This window comes from Homo sapiens, chromosome 6, assembly GCF_000001405.40.
Source record: "Homo sapiens chromosome 6, GRCh38.p14 Primary Assembly".
In the NCBI taxonomy this organism is placed as follows: domain Eukaryota; kingdom Metazoa; phylum Chordata; class Mammalia; order Primates; family Hominidae; genus Homo; species Homo sapiens.
In genome coordinates this window covers 78,869,339-78,888,238 of record NC_000006.12, presented here as the reverse complement: position 1 = coordinate 78,888,238, position 18,900 = coordinate 78,869,339, and the positions used below count along the sequence as shown (strand labels likewise).

The 18,900-nt window shown below is 37.6% G+C and overlaps 1 protein-coding gene across 7 annotated transcripts in view; it reads right to left on the bottom strand.

The window, feature by feature from the left end:
* IRAK1BP1 (interleukin 1 receptor associated kinase 1 binding protein 1) overlaps positions 1-18,900 on the bottom strand; it is a 111,861-nt gene that overhangs the window by 91,173 nt on the left and 1,788 nt on the right. For all 7 annotated transcript variants that reach the window (XR_942279.3, XM_047418194.1, XM_006715336.4 and 4 more), the window contains exon 2: positions 2,796-2,861. Coding sequence is in view for 6 of the 7 variants with exons in the window: in XM_047418194.1 (XP_047274150.1) it covers positions 2,796-2,861 (66 nt within the window). In the remaining variant the exon portion in view is untranslated. The remainder of the gene's footprint in view (positions 1-2,795; positions 2,862-18,900) is intronic.

Here is an 18,900-nt window from a genome sequence, read left to right as displayed (position 1 = left end):
GTAACTTTATACCCATTGAGTAAGAAATCCCATTTCCCCTTCCCTCCATTCTTTGGCAACCAGCTTCTATTTTTTGCTTCTATGATATGATTATTTTAGACTCCTCATGTAAGTGGAATAATCCAGTACTTATCATTCTGTTACTGATATTTCTCTTAACATAATGTCTTGCAGGCATAGCAATGTTTCAAATGGTAGGATTTCCCTTTTTTTTAAGGCTAAATAATATTTCATTGTATGTATATAACACATTTTCTTTATCCATTTATCTGTCAATGGACATTTGGGTTGCTTCCATATCTTGGCTATTGTGAATAATGCTGCAATGAACATGCAAATACAGGTATTTTTTCCAGATCCTGATGTCAGTTCTTTTGGATATACACCCAGGAGTGGGATTGCTGGGTCATATCGTAGTTCTATTTTTAATTTTTTGAGGAACCTGTATACTGTTTTCCATAATGGTTACATCATCATACATTCCCACCTGCAGGGCACAAGGGTTCTAATTTTTCCACTTTCTCATCGACACTGTCTTCTGTTGTTGTTGTTGTTGTTTTTGTGTGTGTGTGTGAGATGGAGTCTTGCTCTGTCGCCCAGGCTGGAGTGCAGTGGCACAATCTTGGCTCATTGCAACCTCCACCTCCTGGGTTCAACTGATTCTTCTGTCTCAGCCTCCCGAGTAGCTGTGATTACAGGCGCCCGCCACCACACCTGGCTAATTTTTTTGTATTTTTAGTAGAGATGGGGTTTCACCATATTGGTCAGGCTGGTCTTGAACTCCTGACCTCGTGATCCGCCCACCTCGACCTCCCAAAGTGCTGGGATTACAGGTGAGAGCCATCGCGCCCAGCCAATCTTCTGCTTTTTTGATAATAGCCATTCTAATAGGTGTGAGGTTATAGCTCAATGTAGTTTTGATTTGTATGTCTCAAATAATTAGTGATGCTGAACACCTTTTTCTATACCTTTTGTCCATCTGTATGTCTTCTTTTGATAAATGTCTATTCAAGTCCTTCGTTCATTTTTAAAATCAGGTTATTTGCTTTTCTTCTACTGAGTTGTATAAGTCTACCAACCATCTAATCTCATTCCATATATTTAACAGTACTTAAGAATACTGGTATGTGTTATACATTAGGCTCTAGTGTTTGCTAAATCCATAGTCATAAAGCCACACATTGTTATTAATGCTTAGGTTGGTACATTTTGTATCTTGTGATCCCAATACTTTGGTTTCCACTGACTGCTGGTGCTGACCTAAAGGCAATCATGTATTGGACTGTGTGATATGATATAAATTCTGGCTACCTGGAATCCCTATACAAAATATAATCAGATTCTCTCTTAAGAAATCTGAATATAAAACATTAAAAAGGTAAAGCAGAAGGAAGAGGAGCAGAGTTTAGCCAAACTCTCATTTAGTCATGTTTTAAAACAAGCAGCTCTAATGCTCTCTTTCTGCATCTGAAAGGTCAGTTCCTAGGACAACTCAGTGGTTTCAAACACATTCCAGTTTTCCATGAAGCCTGGCTGTGTAGTTTCTGGAACTGTTTCTTTTTTCTTATTATTCCCTTGGTACCTTCATAATAAACCTCCTTAACTAAGATAACTTGCTTCCATCTATATTTATTACAATCTGAAGTGCTAACAGGTGATAATTACTGGAGGAGTGCTATAACATACTACCAGCTCTTAATCTCTGTAATTTGGATAATTTGGATCAGACTGCTCTTCATACTGTTTTGAAAGGTATTTTTCAGTTCCTACTACTACGAAATAAGTTTTGCCAAGTGGATCCCTAAAATCATAATGAGTAATTTAAAAATTCCTTGACATAGTAAAATTTTAAGTGGAGAAATCACAAAATGATTACAGGAAGCATTGGGGCAACAAACAGAATATTGTGGAAGTTGCTTCTCAAGAGATAAGAATCCAGGGTTCTAATTTCTATCTAATTCTTGTTATATGACCTTTGAGAAATCTGGGCCTAAGTGATTTGAACCTAAAGTCACACCTTTAAAGTCAGAAAAATAATGTATTATCTGCCTGAAGATAGAAACGGGTGATGGAGATACTTTCTACTTCAAAAGACAAAGATTCTCTCATTTGATATACAAGATTTCAATATAAACCCACTCTTCGTTTCTTGTTACAAGGAGGTGGCACGTACTAGGCACGTACTCCAAAATGTTTGGAATCAGAAACAGCAGTCCTGTAACCTAACCACCACTAGAACATACTCTGATTTCACAAAATCCTGGCCATTAAATCTTTAAATATAAGTAAAAAGCATAGGCAGTTGCAGGAACTAAATGTTGTCATTAACTGAGTGTACTGAAAATAGTTTTATTCTTTTTAATTTGTATAAAGGTTGAATGGTTTTCATTTTTAAACAATATTTATCACAATACAGTAAAATTGCACTGAAAAACAAAAGAATGTTGAAAAGCATTTCAAATCCTTTATGTTATGACTTTATTTGCTTTTTATCTAAAAAGAAATTTCTCTCCTGTAGTGTCACCCGCACATTAGGTGATGACAGTACTAAAACTGTATTTAGTGGCAATTAACTGCTATTTCCCACTTGCTGTTTTTATTCCATTTTAAACTTTCTTTTAAATCTCAAGTTTATTTAAAAGCCGAAATAGATATATAACACCAAGATGATTTTGAGAAAAATAATCTTCTATTAATATCATGAGAAGCATTTTTCACCATTCATTTCAGTTCAAGAATAAAAATGACTGTCTCCACAAAATCATGCTGCTTCCAATTATTTGTTAAGTACATACCTCTGCTTCCATGTGATAAGCATTTTCCACTCTCCTAAAATCCTTTGTCACAGTTATATTTTCTGCCTGAAACAGAAAAAGTCCAAGAGTATGATTACTAAATATTTGATGCAATTACTCTAAAACATAAATTAGAAACCTACACTAATTAAAATCAGAAAAACATAAAATATGCAAAAAGAACTTTGCCTGATGTTTTAAAACTTTCCTAAAAGTGACATAAAATGAATTCAGAAATTGATTTTGCTTAAAATTTCATAAATGTCACTCCTTTTATAATTTGAAAATAGTTTTATTCTTTTCAATTTGTATAAAGGTTGAATGGTTTTCATTTTTAAACAATATTTATCACAATACGGTAAAATTGCACTGCAAAACAAAAGAATGTTGAAAAGCATTTCAAATCCTTTATGTTATGACTTGATTTGCTTTTTATCTAAAAAGAAATTTCTCTCCTGTAGGTGTCACCTGCACATTGGGTGATGACAGTACTAAAATTGTATTTAGTGGCAATTAACTGCTATTTCCCACTTGCTGTTTTTATTCCATTTTAAACTATTTCTTAGTTTATATTACCTTATAATGAAAGTATGAAGTTAGGGTGATATCTATGAGCAATTGTTTGCACATAAAGTATACTTAATGTTGAGTGTCAGTGTTTTAAAAAATATTTAATTTACAAATATTTTAATACAAAATTACCAAATACTTATCATGTGCAACTCTGGGCAAGTTACTAAATTTTTTGAGCCTTAGTTTCCACATTTATCAAATCAGGTTAATACCACGTACACCATATAGCATCATTGTGCAGATTTAATGAGAAGTTGTATATCAAGTATTTGGCATAGAGAAGGCACTCACCAAAAGTGGATGCTATACCACTATGATATAAATATTTATTGAAACATCTAACCTGAGCCAGTTTGGTTTTAGAAAAGTACTAATATTTATATATTCTCAGGGTAAATACAAGGCATATAATACTGACAAAAAAGTTGAATTTCTTATTTACTTTCCAAAAGGGTTTTTAAATTCAGTGATTAAAATCTTCAGCTACTCTCATTCTTTGGGGACAAGCAAAACTTATATTTTATGTAATTTTTTTTGTACCTTTCAAAATATATGTTAAATCAATATATGATTATGCCAAGTAATTTAATTATGTTATTTGAAGAAGACATGGTTGCATCTAAATTTTAAGATATAAACTAATTACAAGCAGTTTATGTTATCCAGAAAAATTCTTAAAAGTTTTAACCTAAGTTAAAAGCTTTTGACTCAAGTTCCAAATATCACTCTGATGTCTGTCAGTCCCATGAAAATATTAACACAATATTTTTATTATGAAAGTAATACCTACTCATTGTGGAAAATTTAGAATACAGGTTAAGTACAAAACAGTACGGTAGTTCTCCCTTAAACAGTACAGTAGTTCTCCCTTATCTACAGGGGATAAATTCCAAGACCTCCAGCAGATACCTGAAACCATAGATAGTATCCAACCTTATATATAACATTTTTTTCTGCTCTGATAACCGAGACAGCTACAAGTGACTAATGGGTAGGTAGCACATACAGTACGGATACACACTGAACAAGGTATGATTCACATGCCCAGGTGGGACGGAGCAGGACACAGAGATTTCATCACGCTACTCAGAATGGTGTACAATTTTAAACTTATGGATTATTTCTGGAATTTTACATTTAATATTTTTGGACCAAGACTGACTGCAAGAATTAGGGGTCTGTACTATATATATTGCTTGCAATCACTTTTTCACTTAACATGAAACTTTTTTGTCATTTAATATTTTATGACATGTAAACATATGTCATAAAACATGTCTCATTTTTCACTTTTCTCCCACTTCACTTGATAAACTTCTGATTGAAAAATTATTAGAGAGATAATTTTATGAAAGGTAATTGGAAAGAAAAGTATCTTTTATTGCTATTTTTGTTTTTAATAGTGTTTTTAAAATAAAAATACATGCTAATCAAAGAAAATCTAATACTAGAGAAAATAATCAAAAAGTAATAACATTCTCAAACCCCATTACTGTTAATATTTTAGTAAACATTTTAATAAACCATCAATGCATATAAATGTATCTAGATCTATATACAGACTTTTTCATAAATAAAATTATATTCTACATTTTGTTCTTAACTACTGATTGACAGGGTCTTGCTTTGCTGTCCAGGCTGCAGTGTAGTGGTACAAGCATGGCTCACCGTAATCTTGAACTCCTGAGCTCAAGCAATCTTTCTGCCTCAGCCTCCTGAGTAGCTAGGAGGATAACAGGCACATACCACCATGCCCAGATTTTCTAAAAAAATTTTTGTAGAGATAGGATCTTGCTATTTTGCCTAGGGTGGTCTCAAATTCCTGGCCTCAAGTGATCCTTCCACCTTAGACTCTCAAAGTGCTGGGATTACAGGCATGAGACATCACACTTGGCCTGAACTTTTTAAAATAAACTTTTAATTTTGAAATAATTTTAAATTTACAGAGAAGTTACCAAGATAGTACAGAGGTCCCATCTACCTCACTTTCAGACTTCTCTGATGTTAATATTATAGTACATCTGTCTAAACTAAAAAGCCAACATTAGTAGATTACCATTAACAAAACTCCAAACTTTATTTGGATTTCACCAGTTTTTCTATTAAATGTCCTTTTTACTACCACAGGATCAAATCCATGATACTGTATTGCATTAATTCATCAAGTCTCCTTAGTCTCCTCTGGTCTCTTGATAGTTTCTCAGTCTTCCTTTGTTTTTCATGACCTTGAAAGTTTTGGTCATGTATTTTGCAGAATGTCCCTCATTTTGACATTGATGTTTTCTCATGATTAGACTAGAGTTATAAATTTTAGGAAAGAATACCATAGAGGTGAAATGCCTTTTTAATCACAACACATCAGGCAGTACATGGTATCCACATGACACTACTCCAAATACTAATACTGGTCACTTGGGTAAAGTAGTGTTTGCCAGTTTCCTCCACTGTAAAGTTACTATTTTCCCCTTTCCATACTTTATTAATTGGAAGCATGTCACTAAGTGCAGCCCACACTCACTCAATAAATACTACTTTATTTCTTTTGTTGCTCAATTGTTCTAGCTTTGGCCATTGGGACTTCTTTCAGGTTGGCTCCTTTATCTGTTTGACATACCCCTTTCCTTTACTTTTTGAGCACTTTCTTACTTTCTGTTGCAAGATATTATAGGCTTATGCAGTTTCCTTGCCCCAGTCCTAGAATAAGCCCTTTCTCCAAGAAGCATAGTACCTTTTCTTTGAGATTTATGTAGAACCAAGATCTGAATGCTGAGACTGCTCACTGCTATTGGGGTGTCATTCCTTCTAGGCTCTCTCAGTGGACAGAGCTAGGTTACATATATATATGCATAGACATATATATACGCACACAGATACTAACTTACATGTAAAATTTTCTGTATTTTTCCACCTGTACAATATACAAAGGTAAACATGAGTTCACACTGATGTTTTCAACTCTAATCCTGAATCACAGAATTCATTTTAACCTTCCATTTTTATCTGTAACTTCCCTCTCTGATAGTGAGAAACCTGGCTCCCACCATCCACTATCCACTTATTTATTTGTTTAACCCCAGTATATACATGTAAAGCACTTTCAGACTTATTAACAAATACCCCTTTGGAAAACTTATTTACCAACTAGAGCATGGAGTTTTTGTATCTTTATTCTTCATCCTTATAATTTCCAGTCAAAACACCATTTTCCAGTAATTTAGGACAGTCCCTGCCCCTATCACCTTAAGCACAGTTATGTCACTCATTTGTAAGAACTGGGTTCATTTGTCAAGAGAATAAATTTTATCCTGGGATTGATCCTGTGATAGGCTCTTTGATGCCTTTTTCCTCCAGTTTACATACATCAAGCTTCACTATTTGTGATTTACAGCTCTATGAGGTTTGACAAATGCATAAAGTCATGTATGTACCACTCCAGTACCATAAAGAATAGTTCTTTCACCTTAAAAATTTCTCCGTGCATCTCTTTTAGTCAACCACTTTGCCCTCCAACAGATTGTTAACCACTAATCTGTTTTCGTTCCCCATAGTTTTGCTTTTCTCCAGAAGATCATATGAATAGAATCATAAAATTCAAAGCTTTTGGGTCTGGCTTCTTTCACTGACTAATATGCAGCTAAATTCACTCACATTGTTTTGTGAATCAATTCTCATTCCTTTTTATTGCTGAATAATATTCTTTTGCATGGATGTACCACAATTTTTTTAATCCATGCCACTGCTGAAAGACATCTTGGCTGCTTCCAGTTTTAGAAGTTATGAATAAAGCTGCTATAAACATTTGTGTACAGATTCTTATATGTACTTACGTTTTCAATTCACTTCGGCAAATTATCCTAGAATGCTGACTTCTATGGTAAGTCTATATTTAACTTATAAGAAACTATAAGACTACCTTCCAAAGTGGCCATATAATTTTGCAATCTCACCAGCAATGAACGAGAATTCCTGTTGCTCTGTATCCTTCCCAGCATTTGGTATCAGTGTTACTGTATTTAAGCCATTCTAATAGGTACATAGCAGTATTTCATTGTGGTTTTATTTTCCATTTCCCTATTGACAAGTAATGTTGAGTATCTTTTCATGTGCCTATTTGCCATCTGTATAAGTTCCTTGGCGAAGTGTCTGTTAAGATCTTTTGTGCATTTTTATTGAGCTGTTTGTTACTGCTGAATTGAGGTCTATATATGTTCTTGATACAAGTCCTTCATCAGCTATGTAATTTACAAATATTTTCTCCCAGTCTATAGACTGACTTTTCATTTTCTTAACAGATACAAGTCCTTTATCAGCTATGTAATTTACAAATATTTTCTCCCAGTCTATAGATTGACTTTTCATTTTCTTAACAATGTTTTTCACAAAGTGAGTTTTTAATTGTCATAAAATACAATTTATCTTTTTGTTTGTTTCATGGACTGTGCTTTTTGGTAACACAGGTTGAGCATCCTAAATGTGAAAATCCAAAATTCGAAAAGCTCAAAAATTCAAAACTTGTTTTTAAGCACAAACATGATGCTCAAAGAAAATGCTCTTTGGAGAATTTTGAATTTTAGATTTTTGGATTTGGGATATTCAATCATTAAGTATATAATGCAAATATTCCAAAATAAAAATCTGAAATCTGAAACATTTCTGGTCCCAACATTTCAGATAAGGGATACTCAACCTCTGTATCTAAAAACTCATCTTCAATCCCAAGGTCACATAGATTTTCTCCTTTTCTTTTTTTCTAGAAGTTTTGTGTTTTACTGTTGGGAAAGGCAATCTCATGCTATAGTCTTTTGATCTACACTCAACTGCCCAGGAATGGGCTGTGGCCCTGGAACACTTGCTTACTAAGAGATAAAGTATCTTTCAGAGCTTGTGCTGGGCTTGTTTCCTTGTATGGGAATACCTTCCCCATTTCAGACTCAATATGTACTTTTTGCTTCTACTTAAAGGTTGTATGTCATATGACACCTGACCAACCTCACTACTATATCTGTACCCTGCAGGAAGGGGACTGAGTCCTTCTGTTGCAGCACAAGAGATGTGCATGTAGGTCAACTGCCCCTGCATTAGCTGCTGGGAAGCAGTTGCTGGCCATGGGGGACTGACATGTACTACTGACTCTGATGTCACTCTTGTCTTTTCTCTACATAAGTAAGGTTTGTTCCATCCAGTGCTTGACTGCATTGTGTTTTCTTGGTGACTCTCATACCAAAATGCAGTGGGCAGAAGTGCTTGGACTTCTATCCTGGTAACAGGCAACAGATGCTACATGCTCAATATTGACCAATTTTGAACAAAGTTTTGTATAAGGTGTGAGGTGAGTGTGGAGGTTCATTTTTTTGCATACAGACATTTGACTGTTGCAGCAACATTTGTTGAAAAGACTCCTTTCTTTATCGAATTGCTTCTACACTTCTATTGTTTTTCTCTCTGAAAAACAATCTTAGAACCAGTAAAATACTTATTTACTTTAGCCCAGTGATTTTTTTATTTTTTTAAAATTTTTATTATTATACTTTAAGTTCTACAGTACATGTGCACAACGTGCAGGTTTGTTACATACGTATACATGTGCCATTTTGGTGTGCTGCACCCATTAACTCGTCATTTACATTAGGTGTATCTCCTAATGCTATCCCTACCCCCTACCCCCACCCCAAGACAGGCCCTGGTGTGTGATGTTCCCCATCCTGTGTCCAAGTGTTCTCATTGTTCAGTTCCCACCTTTGAGTGAGAACTCAACCTAGCCTTGCTAGGTTGGGGAAGTTCTCCTGGATAATATCGTGAAGAGTGTTTTCCAACTTGGTTCCATTCTCCCCGTCACTTTCAGGTACACCAATCAGACGTAGATTTGGTCTTTTCACATAGTCGCATATTTCTTGGAGGCTTTGTTCGTTTATTTTTACTCTTTTTTCTGTAAACTTCTCACTTCATTTCATTCATTTGATCTTCCACCACTGATACCCTTTCTTCCAGTTCATCTAATCGGCTACTGAAGCTTGTGCATGCGTCACGTAGTTCTTGTGCCATGGTTTTCAGCTCCATCAGGTCATTTAAGGTCTTCTCTACGCCGTTTATTCTAGTTAGCCATTCATCTAATCTTTTTTCAAGGTTTTTAGCTTCTTTGCAATGGGTCTGAACATCCTCTTTTAGGTCGGAGAAGTTTGTTATTACCGATCGTCTGAAGCCTTCTTCTCTCAACTTGTCAAAGTCATTCTCAGTCCAGCTTTGTTCTGTTGCTGGCGAGGAGCTGCATTCCTTTGGAGGAGAAAAGGCACTCTGATTTTTAGAATTTTCAGCTTTTCTGCTCTGGTTTCTCCCCATCTTTGTGGTTTGATCTACCTTTGGTCTTTGATGATGGTGACGTACAGATGGGGTTTTGTTGTGGATGTCCTTTCTGTTAGTTTTCATTCTAACAGTCAGGACCCTTAGCTGCAGGTCTGTTGGAATTTGCTGAAGGTCCACTCCAGACCCTGTTTGCCTGGGTATCAGCAGCGGAGGCTGCAGAACAGCAAATACTGCAGAACAGCAAACGTTGCTGCCTGATCTTTCCTCTGGAAGCTTCGTCTCAGATGGACACCCTCTGAGACGTATGAGGTGTCAGTTGGCCCCTACTGGGAGGTGCCTCCCAGTTAGGCTACTCGGGGGTCAGAGACCCTCTTGAGGAGGCAGTCTGTCCGTTCTCAGATCTCAAACTCCGTGCTGGGAGAACCACTACTCTCTTCAAGGCTGTCAGACAGGTACATTTAAGTCTGCAGAAGTTTCTGCTGCCTTTTGTTCAGCTATGCCCTGCCCCAGAGGTGGAGTCTACAGTGGCAGGCAGGTCTCCTTGAGCTGTGGTGGGATCCACCCAGTTTGAGCTTCCCGGCTGCTTTTTTTTTTTACCTACTCAAGCCTCAGCAATGGCGGAGCCCCTCCCCCTCCCTCACTGCTGCCTTACAGTTCGATATCAGACTGCTGTGCTAGCAGCAAGAGAGGCTCTGTGGGTGTGGGACCCTCTGAGCCAGGTGCGGGATATAATCTCCTGGTGTGTCGTTTGCTAAGACTGTTGGAAAAGCACAGTATTAGGGTGGGAGTGACCCGATTTTCCAGGTGCCGTCTGTCACGGGTTCCCTTGGCTAGGAAAGGGAATTCCCCGACCCCTTGCACTTCCCGGGTAAGGTGATGCCTCGCCCTGCTTCGGCTCACGCTCCATGGGCTGCACCCACTGTCCCGCACCCACTGTCTGACAAGCCCTAGTGAGATGAACCCAGTACCTCAGTTGGAAATGCAGAAATCACCCGTCTTCTGCATCGCTCACGCTGGGAGCTGTAGACTGGAGCTGTTCCTATTTGGCCATCTTGGAACCTATGCCAGCCCAGTAGTTTTTAAAGGGAAGTGTGTGCAGTCTGAAAACAACCCATATAAGAAGACAGTTATCTTGCTTCTCTATATAGTAAAATATCTGATATATTTTGAAATTCTAAATAATATTACAGGGAATGGAGAAATAAAAATTGCCTGTTGACAATCAGATGGAGAAGGTCTAAGCAGAACATAAACAATGTTTCCAGAGGACATAGAATCTAAGAAAGTTTTTAACAGAGCCAAAGTTTCTAACAGAAACTAACAGACCTGCAACCACAAGAAATAATTAACATTCTTTTTCTGCTTGATTGCTGTGCCTTTACTAAAGGCACACCTAGCCTAACTGTAATCCTCTGGGTTTCCTATGAAAAAATTAATAAAATAGCCAATCACCAAACTGTCCCTGTCTGCTTCACTGATCCTTTCCTGGAACTACTCAGCACAAGGCCAAAACCTTTAAGAGGCTCCTCCTGAATACCTGTTTCTGAAACACTCCTAAGGTCCTTTGGGATGCATTATTCTTTGTTGCATCATGCTAAATAAACCTAACTTTGTTTCACTATAGATACGTTTCTGATAGTCTGGCTGGTGGGTTCCAACACAGAGTATGAGATTTTTTGTTTATCTATAGGGCAGTGGTTCTCCACCAGATGATTTTGCCCTAGGGGACATCTGCCAATGCCTGGAGACATTTTTTATTGTCACAGCTGGGGAAGAGGAATACACTACTAAGTGGATACACAAGATGATCAAGTGTCCCTGTGAACCTCAAACTGAGGAGGTTCCTCAGACATGGACCTGCCAGTTTTAAAACTTGAACAGTTTCAGGTAAAGGAGGACATGCTGGTCACCCCATGGGTAGGGGCCAGGAATGCTGTTAAATATCCTACAATGCACAGGACAGCCCCCAACAACAACGAGTTATCCAATCCATAATGTTAATACTGCCAAGATTGAGAAAGCCTGCTATAAGGGGCACAAAACTGAAAAATATTGAAATATATCAGCCTACTCTGCTAAGTTTTCTTGATTAAGCTACTGTTTATTTCTAAATACAAAAGGCAGAGTTTTAAGACAAAATGGTCAAGACAGGAATAACTACTTAAGTAATATGGGTGTATTAGTCCATTTTCACGCTGCTATAAAGATACTACCTGAGTTTGGGTAATTTATAAACAAATGAGGTTTGACTCTCAGTTCCACATGGCTGGGGAGGCCTCAGGAAACTTACAACCATGGCAGAAGGCAAAGGGGAAGCAAGGCACGTCTTACATGTTGGCAGGAGAGAGAGAGAGAGTGATAAAGTGTCACACTTTAAAGCATCAGCTCTCATGAGAACTCCCTCACTCTTACAAGAACAGCACGGAGGAAACTGCCCCCATAGTTCAATTACCTCCCATCAGATCCCCCCCTTGACACATAGGGATTACAATTCTAGATGAAATTTGGGTGGGGACACAGAGCCAAACCATATCAATAGGGAAGCACAAATCATGATGATAACAATCTCAATAGCCATAAAAATTATTTTCATAGGAATAAAATTTAAAAAAGTAAACAAGAAGAAAACCATAAAACTTTAAACAGTCTTTTAAAATCTTCTGGGAAAACATCTCATCTATTCAATATATATATTTTTATTTATTTATTTTAGATTCAGAAGGTACATGTGCATGTTTGTTACATGGGTACATTGCGTGATGCTGAGGTGTGGGGTACAACTGATCCCGTTGCCCAAGTAGGAAACACTACGTGGTTACTTTTTCAACCACTTCTGTGCTCCCTCCCTACTTTTGGAGTTCCCAGTGTTTATTGTTCTTATCTTTGGGTCCATGTGTACCCAATGTTTACTTCTCACTTATAAGTGAGAATATGTGGTTTTCTGTTTCTGCACTGGGGTAGGATAATGGCTTCAAGCCTTATCCATATTACTGCAAAGTACATGATTTTGTTCTTTTTTATGGCTACACAGTATTTCATTGTGTATAAGCATCACATTTTCTTTATCTAATCCATTGTTGATGGGCACCTGGGTTGATTCCATGTATTTGCTATTGTGAATAGTGCTGCAATAAACATACAAGTGAATGTGTCTTTTTGGTAGAACGATTTATTTACCTTTGGGTATAGGCCCGGCAAAGAGATTGCCAGGTCAAATGGTAATTTTATTTCTAGTTCTTTGAGAAATCTCCAAACTGCTGTTCACAGTGGCAGAACTAATTTACATTTCCACCAAGAGTATAAGCACTCCTCTTTCTCTACAATCTTGCCAATATCTGTTATTTTTTGACTTTTTAATAAAAGCCATTCTTACTAGTGTGAGACGGTATTTCACTGTGGTTTTGATTTGCATCTTTCCAATGACTGGTGATGCTGAGCACTTTTCCATGTGTTTGCTGGCTGCTTGTATGGTTTCTTTTGAGAAGTGTCTACTCATTTCCTTTGCCCACTTTTTCACGAGATTGTTTTTTTTCCTGCTTATTCCTTATAGGATTCTGGACATTAGACCTTTGTCAGATGCATAGTTTGCAAATATTTTCTCCCATTCTATAGTGTTTCTGTTTACTCTGTTGATAGTTTCATTTGCTGTGCAGAAGCTCTTTAGTTTAATTAAGTCCCATTTGTCTATTTTTTATTTTGTTGCATTTGCTTTTGGGGTCTTCATCAAAAATTCTTTGCCTAGGTCAATGTCTAGAAGAGTATTTCCTAGAAAACCAAAAAACTTTACAGAAAAACAAAGCATTTAAATAAATGGACTGGGACACAACACTGTAAAATCAGCCATTATCCTGAAATTAATTTGTAAACTGAATGCAAAATATAAATAGAAATTTTTTGTATAGAAATTTTCCACCCTCTGGAATTTCTGACTATAATTTCATGTTGTCACTTAAAATGTCCCTCTGTTCCTTGCAGACAGGGAATTTTTTTCAGAAGAGTAATGAGGGGAGAACTTGCCCTACAAATGCTTTATGAAGATAATAATTTAAACAGGATAGTACTGGCACAGGACCGTAACAAGGATCAAATGAACTAATTAATTCTGTAACTAATTCAAGAACATCTGAAGATTACAAATAGCAATAAACAGTAACATTTCAAAGCAGTAGGTAAAACAAGAAATACAGAATCCTCATGTCATACACTCTTCCCCTACTACCTCTGAGCAGTAACTATGTGATTCAGGGTAAGCCGTAATAGGTTTAAACTACTTAGGATGATCACATCTGATTTGCTATAGGATTAGGTTAAAAGATGGACAGAAATCCATATCTAAGCTAATTGGTCTGGCATTTCTCTGGCCACAAAAATAAGTTTAGGTTGTCTATTTAGAGTGAACTGTAGGATTTTTTAAAATAAATATGGTTGCAGGAAACAAAGACTATTGTTTTTCTTTTTAAGCTATGGTATAAGATGTAAGGCTTGGGAATGTTGCAGCCATTTTAGTATCATGCAGGAAGATGAAGGTAAAGCCAAGAGAACTACATCAAAGTATGCAGAGCCTTGACAATGAAAGCCCATATTACAACTTGACTTTCAATTACGTAAAGCAAGGTTCTTGCATGTGTAGTAAAGGAAAGACAGACTTCAGTAAATGGTGTCAGTTCAGCTACTTACCTATTTAAGAGAAAACAAAACTCTTATCCTTATACCAAAGTAAATTCCAAGCACAGTACACATATCTAATATACTACAAAGGTTCCTTAAGAGACCAGGAAATATTAGTTAATAGTTCTATAAGGCTAGGTGTGGTGGCTCATGCCTGGCATTCCAGTGCTTCAGGAGGGCAAGGTGAGAGGATTGCTTGAGGCCAGGAGTTTGAGACCAGCCTGGACAACATAGTAAGACCCCGTCTCTATAAAAAATTAGCTGGGCATGGAGGTGCGTGCCTGTAGTCCTAGCTATTTGGGAGGCTGAGGTGGGAGGATAGCTTGAGCCCCGGAGTTTTAGGCTGCAGTGAACAATGATAGTAATCACCCTACTCCATACTGGGCAACAGAATGAGACCCTGTGTTTAAAAAAAAAAAGTTATATAGCTTTATGCTTGAGAAGAACCCAATACACCCAATAAACATTATATACAAAGGTAGAAAAAAATACAGAAAAAAATTAATGAATTTGGCTAAACAAAACTTTAAGATTTTGAAAGTTCAATACTATAAACTAAGTTATACAGCAAATAAAAAACTGAGAAAATTTTTTGCAATATATGACAGGTTATTTACAATCTTTTTTTTTTTTTTTTTTTTTTTTTTTGAGACAGAGTTTCACTCTGTTGCCTAGGCTGGAGTGCAGTGGCGTGATCTCAGCTCACTGCCACCTCTGCCTCCTGGGCTCAAGTGATTCTCCTGCCTCAGCCTCCGGAGTAGCTGAGACACAGGCGCCCACCACCATGCCTGGCTAATTTTTATATTTTTAGTAGAAACAGGGATTCACCGTGTTAGCTAGGCTGGCCTTGAACTCCTGATCTCAAGTAATCCGCCTGCCTCAGACTCCCAAAGTGCTGGGATTACAGGCATGAGCCATCGTGCCTGGCCAGGTTACTTATAATCTTAATTTTTAAGGTTCTTATCAATTTAATAAGGTAAAGACAATAGAAAAATGGGCAAAATATTGTGAACTAGAAATTTATATTTAAAAAGTTTAAGTTCAAATGATAAAAAAGAAATGGCAGTATCATTTCTTGGACTGCTAAGTTGGCAAAATTACAGAAGAAAATAATGCCTACTGTGCCAAGTGAAGATGTAAACGTATATTTTTAGAGTACAATTTTTCATAAGCCTTCAAATATACATAATCCAGGAATTAATGTCCAAAGAACATTACCAGTTGAGGATCCCTAATCCGAAAATCCAAAATGCTCCAAAATCTTAAACTTTTTGAGTGCCAACATGACACTCAAAGGAAACTGGAGCATTTTGAATTTTGGATTTCCAGATTACAAATATTCCACTGGTACATATAAAATATAAATATTCCCAAATCCACAACTTCCAAAATCCAAAACATTTCTGGTAAAGCATTTTGGATGGGATGCTTAACCTGTAATTAAGGACATGTATAAATATATAGCTTACGAGGACATTCATGTTGTGACCATTTTTAATAATGAAAAACTTTAGCCAATGCCTATGTTCAATTTGTTGCCACTACTTCTTATCTTAATTTGGGTGCCCCTAGAAACATATCCTAAGACAAAGATTTGCATACAGTTAATTTTGAAGGTGATCCCAAAAAACACCATTAACAGAGTGGGATGCAAGACAGATAAGGAAAGAAAGGCACTAAAGGATATGTTGTCAAGCAAATTACCGCTGTGGTCAGCTCAAATTTAATCCTGCAGAGAAACTCTAGGAACCAGGGTGGAACACATACCTCAGAATTATCCGACCCCAAGGGGTGAAGATGCTGGGGTCTCTTTCCATTCATTTCCCTCAGTCATTCTAGTTCTACATTAGCCTTCAGATGAAGGCTGCTGGGGCTGGGGGAGAGGACTTTAATTCCCTGGCATTACACTCTGGCCCCATTTGCAGAGAGTGGATTCCGGCAGCCAGGGAAAGCTTTCACTTTCAGGCAAAGAATTTACAAATGTTGTCAGATGGAAGCTGGGCCTGCATGCACACAAATGTGAAGTGCCAAAGGATACAAGTAGTGGTATCAATAGCATCAGTGACATCTTCCCTACCTAAAATCTCAATTATCCACTGTCAAGAGAATAAAGAAGCAACATCCTGTAGTGGTTAAGAGCATGGACCCTAAAGTTAAAATTCTGCCACTTCCTGGCTGTGACCGTGTGCAAGCAACCTGCCAATAATCACTCTGGTCCTTGGAGTTCTCATCTATAAACAGCCCTATCCTCATGTCCCAATCACCTCCTAAAAGCCTCCTCCGAATACCATCATACTTGGGATTAGGTTTCAACTATAAATTTTGGGGGGAAACAAACATTTAGTCCATTGCAAGAACTATATGCCTTGATGTGTCATGATGTAAGGTAAGTTCTCGTCTGCTGTTCCTGTGGAATACCTCCTACTGGGTGTCATGGTGGCTGAGGTGGTCTGTTGTGAAGCAAAAAGGAGAAAAGGTGTCTGTCTTTTGGTTGCACTGTGTTAAAGGAATCTTACAGTAGTCTTGCTCATACTGCAATGGGTTAAAGGGGTTAAACACTCCCTTCAGCATTTACTCCTAGTCCTCTCTTGCACTAGAACTTAGATATGCATCCTGAGTGACCGAAACACTTTTGTGAGGGAGGACCAGACATTGTGAGGTCATTTTATGCCTACAGTTGGAGAGAGAAGAAAATAAAGGGGAAGCAGAGATATCAGGGTAATTCTTGGTAGCATTCACTATATACCAAATCTACTGGCTCCTTGATCTTGGATGCCCAGATTCCAGAACTGTAAGATACACATTTCTGTTGTTTATAAGCTACCCAGGCTATGGTTTTTCATTACAGCAGACCAAACAAACTAAGACAATATAAAGTATTGTTTAAAAATGAACAATGGGCCAGGCGCAGTGGCTCACGCCTGTAATCCCAGCATTTTGGGAGGTTGAGGTGGGGGATCAGTCAGGAGTTCGAGACCAGCCTGGCCAACACAGTGAAACCCCATCTCTACTAAACATACAAAAATTACCAGGCGTGGTGGCAGGCGCCTGTAATCCCAGCTACTTGGGAGGCTGAGGCAGGAGAATTGCTTGAACCTGGGAGGCGGAGGTTGCAGTGAGCCTAGACTGCCTCCATTGTACTCCAGCCTGGGCGACAAAAGCGAAACTCCATCTCAAAAAAAAACAAAAACCAAAAACAAAAATGAACAATGAAAAGAAAGGCTTAATGTTTGTTGGTTGAATGAGTAAATATTGCTTAGAACTTTAAAACACTTTTCAATGAAAACCACGCTAGAAGTAAGGATTATACCTTCACACAAGTTCATAAATCTATGATCTATACCATAGCTGAATAATTTGTTCACTTATTGTTTCATTTTTTTTCTATTATTCATTCAGAAGGCATTTTCTGAGTACACATTATGTGAAGTGTATGGACCATAACTCATACAGGCAAAAAAAGAACAAATGGTCTTGGCTCTGGAGAAGTTTAGAATATGGAGGAGAAACAAGTAAATTAAGAATTATGATACAGGATAAGTTTTTATTACAAGTATAGGGAGTGAAGTGTTGCATGGCAGGGATTAGTGTTATATTAGGAAAGGAATGCCAAGAAGGTGAATTTGGGCTGATTCTTTTCTTTTCTTTTTTTTTTTGAGACAGTGTCTCACTTCCATAGCTCAGACTTGGGCTAATTCTTAAAGAAAAATACAATAGAGGGGAGGAAGATATGATAGGAGATGAGGATAGTCAGGCTCCATCTTTTTTTTTTTTTTTTTTTTTTTTTTTTTTTGGGACGGAGTTTCACTCTTGTTGCCCAGGCTGGAGTGCAATGGCACGAACTCAGCTGACTGCAACCTCCGCCTCCTGGGTTCAAGCAATTCTCCTGCCTCAGCCTCACAAGTAACTGGGATTACAGGCATGCACCACCATGCTTGGCTAATTTTGGTATTTTTAGTAGAGACGAGATTTCACCATGTTGGTCAGGCTGGTCTTGAACTCCTCACCTCAGGTGATCTGCCCTCCTCGGCCTCCCAAAGTGATGGGATTACAGGCGTGAGCCACCACGCCCGGCTCAGGCTCCATCTTTTAAGCAAAGGAGTTTGGATTATGAGGAGCCCTTTAAGCAGGGAAGTGATGTTTATAAATCTTACAGCTCAGAATTCTAAAGTTTAAAATGAATACAGACTTTGTGAAGACCCATAATTCATTCTGAAAATATAAATGATATTTTGTATTATCTCCTGAACAAATTATCTACCTGACTGCTTTCATCCATTAGCAGAGATAATTGGGAGGTTACTGTCTTTCTTATGTCTTGCCTTGAACACTGAATCTTGATTACTCTAAGTTGGACTTAGTTAATTTATTTACTTACTACTTATTTGAGACAGAGTCTCTGTCACCCAAGCTGGAGTGCAGTGGCACCATCTCGGCTCACTGAAACCTTCGCCTCCCGGATTCAAGAGATTTTCCTGCCTCAGTCACCCTAGTAGCTGGGATTACAGGACTGTGCCACCATGCCCACCTAATTTTTGTATTTTTACTAGAGATTGGGTTTTGC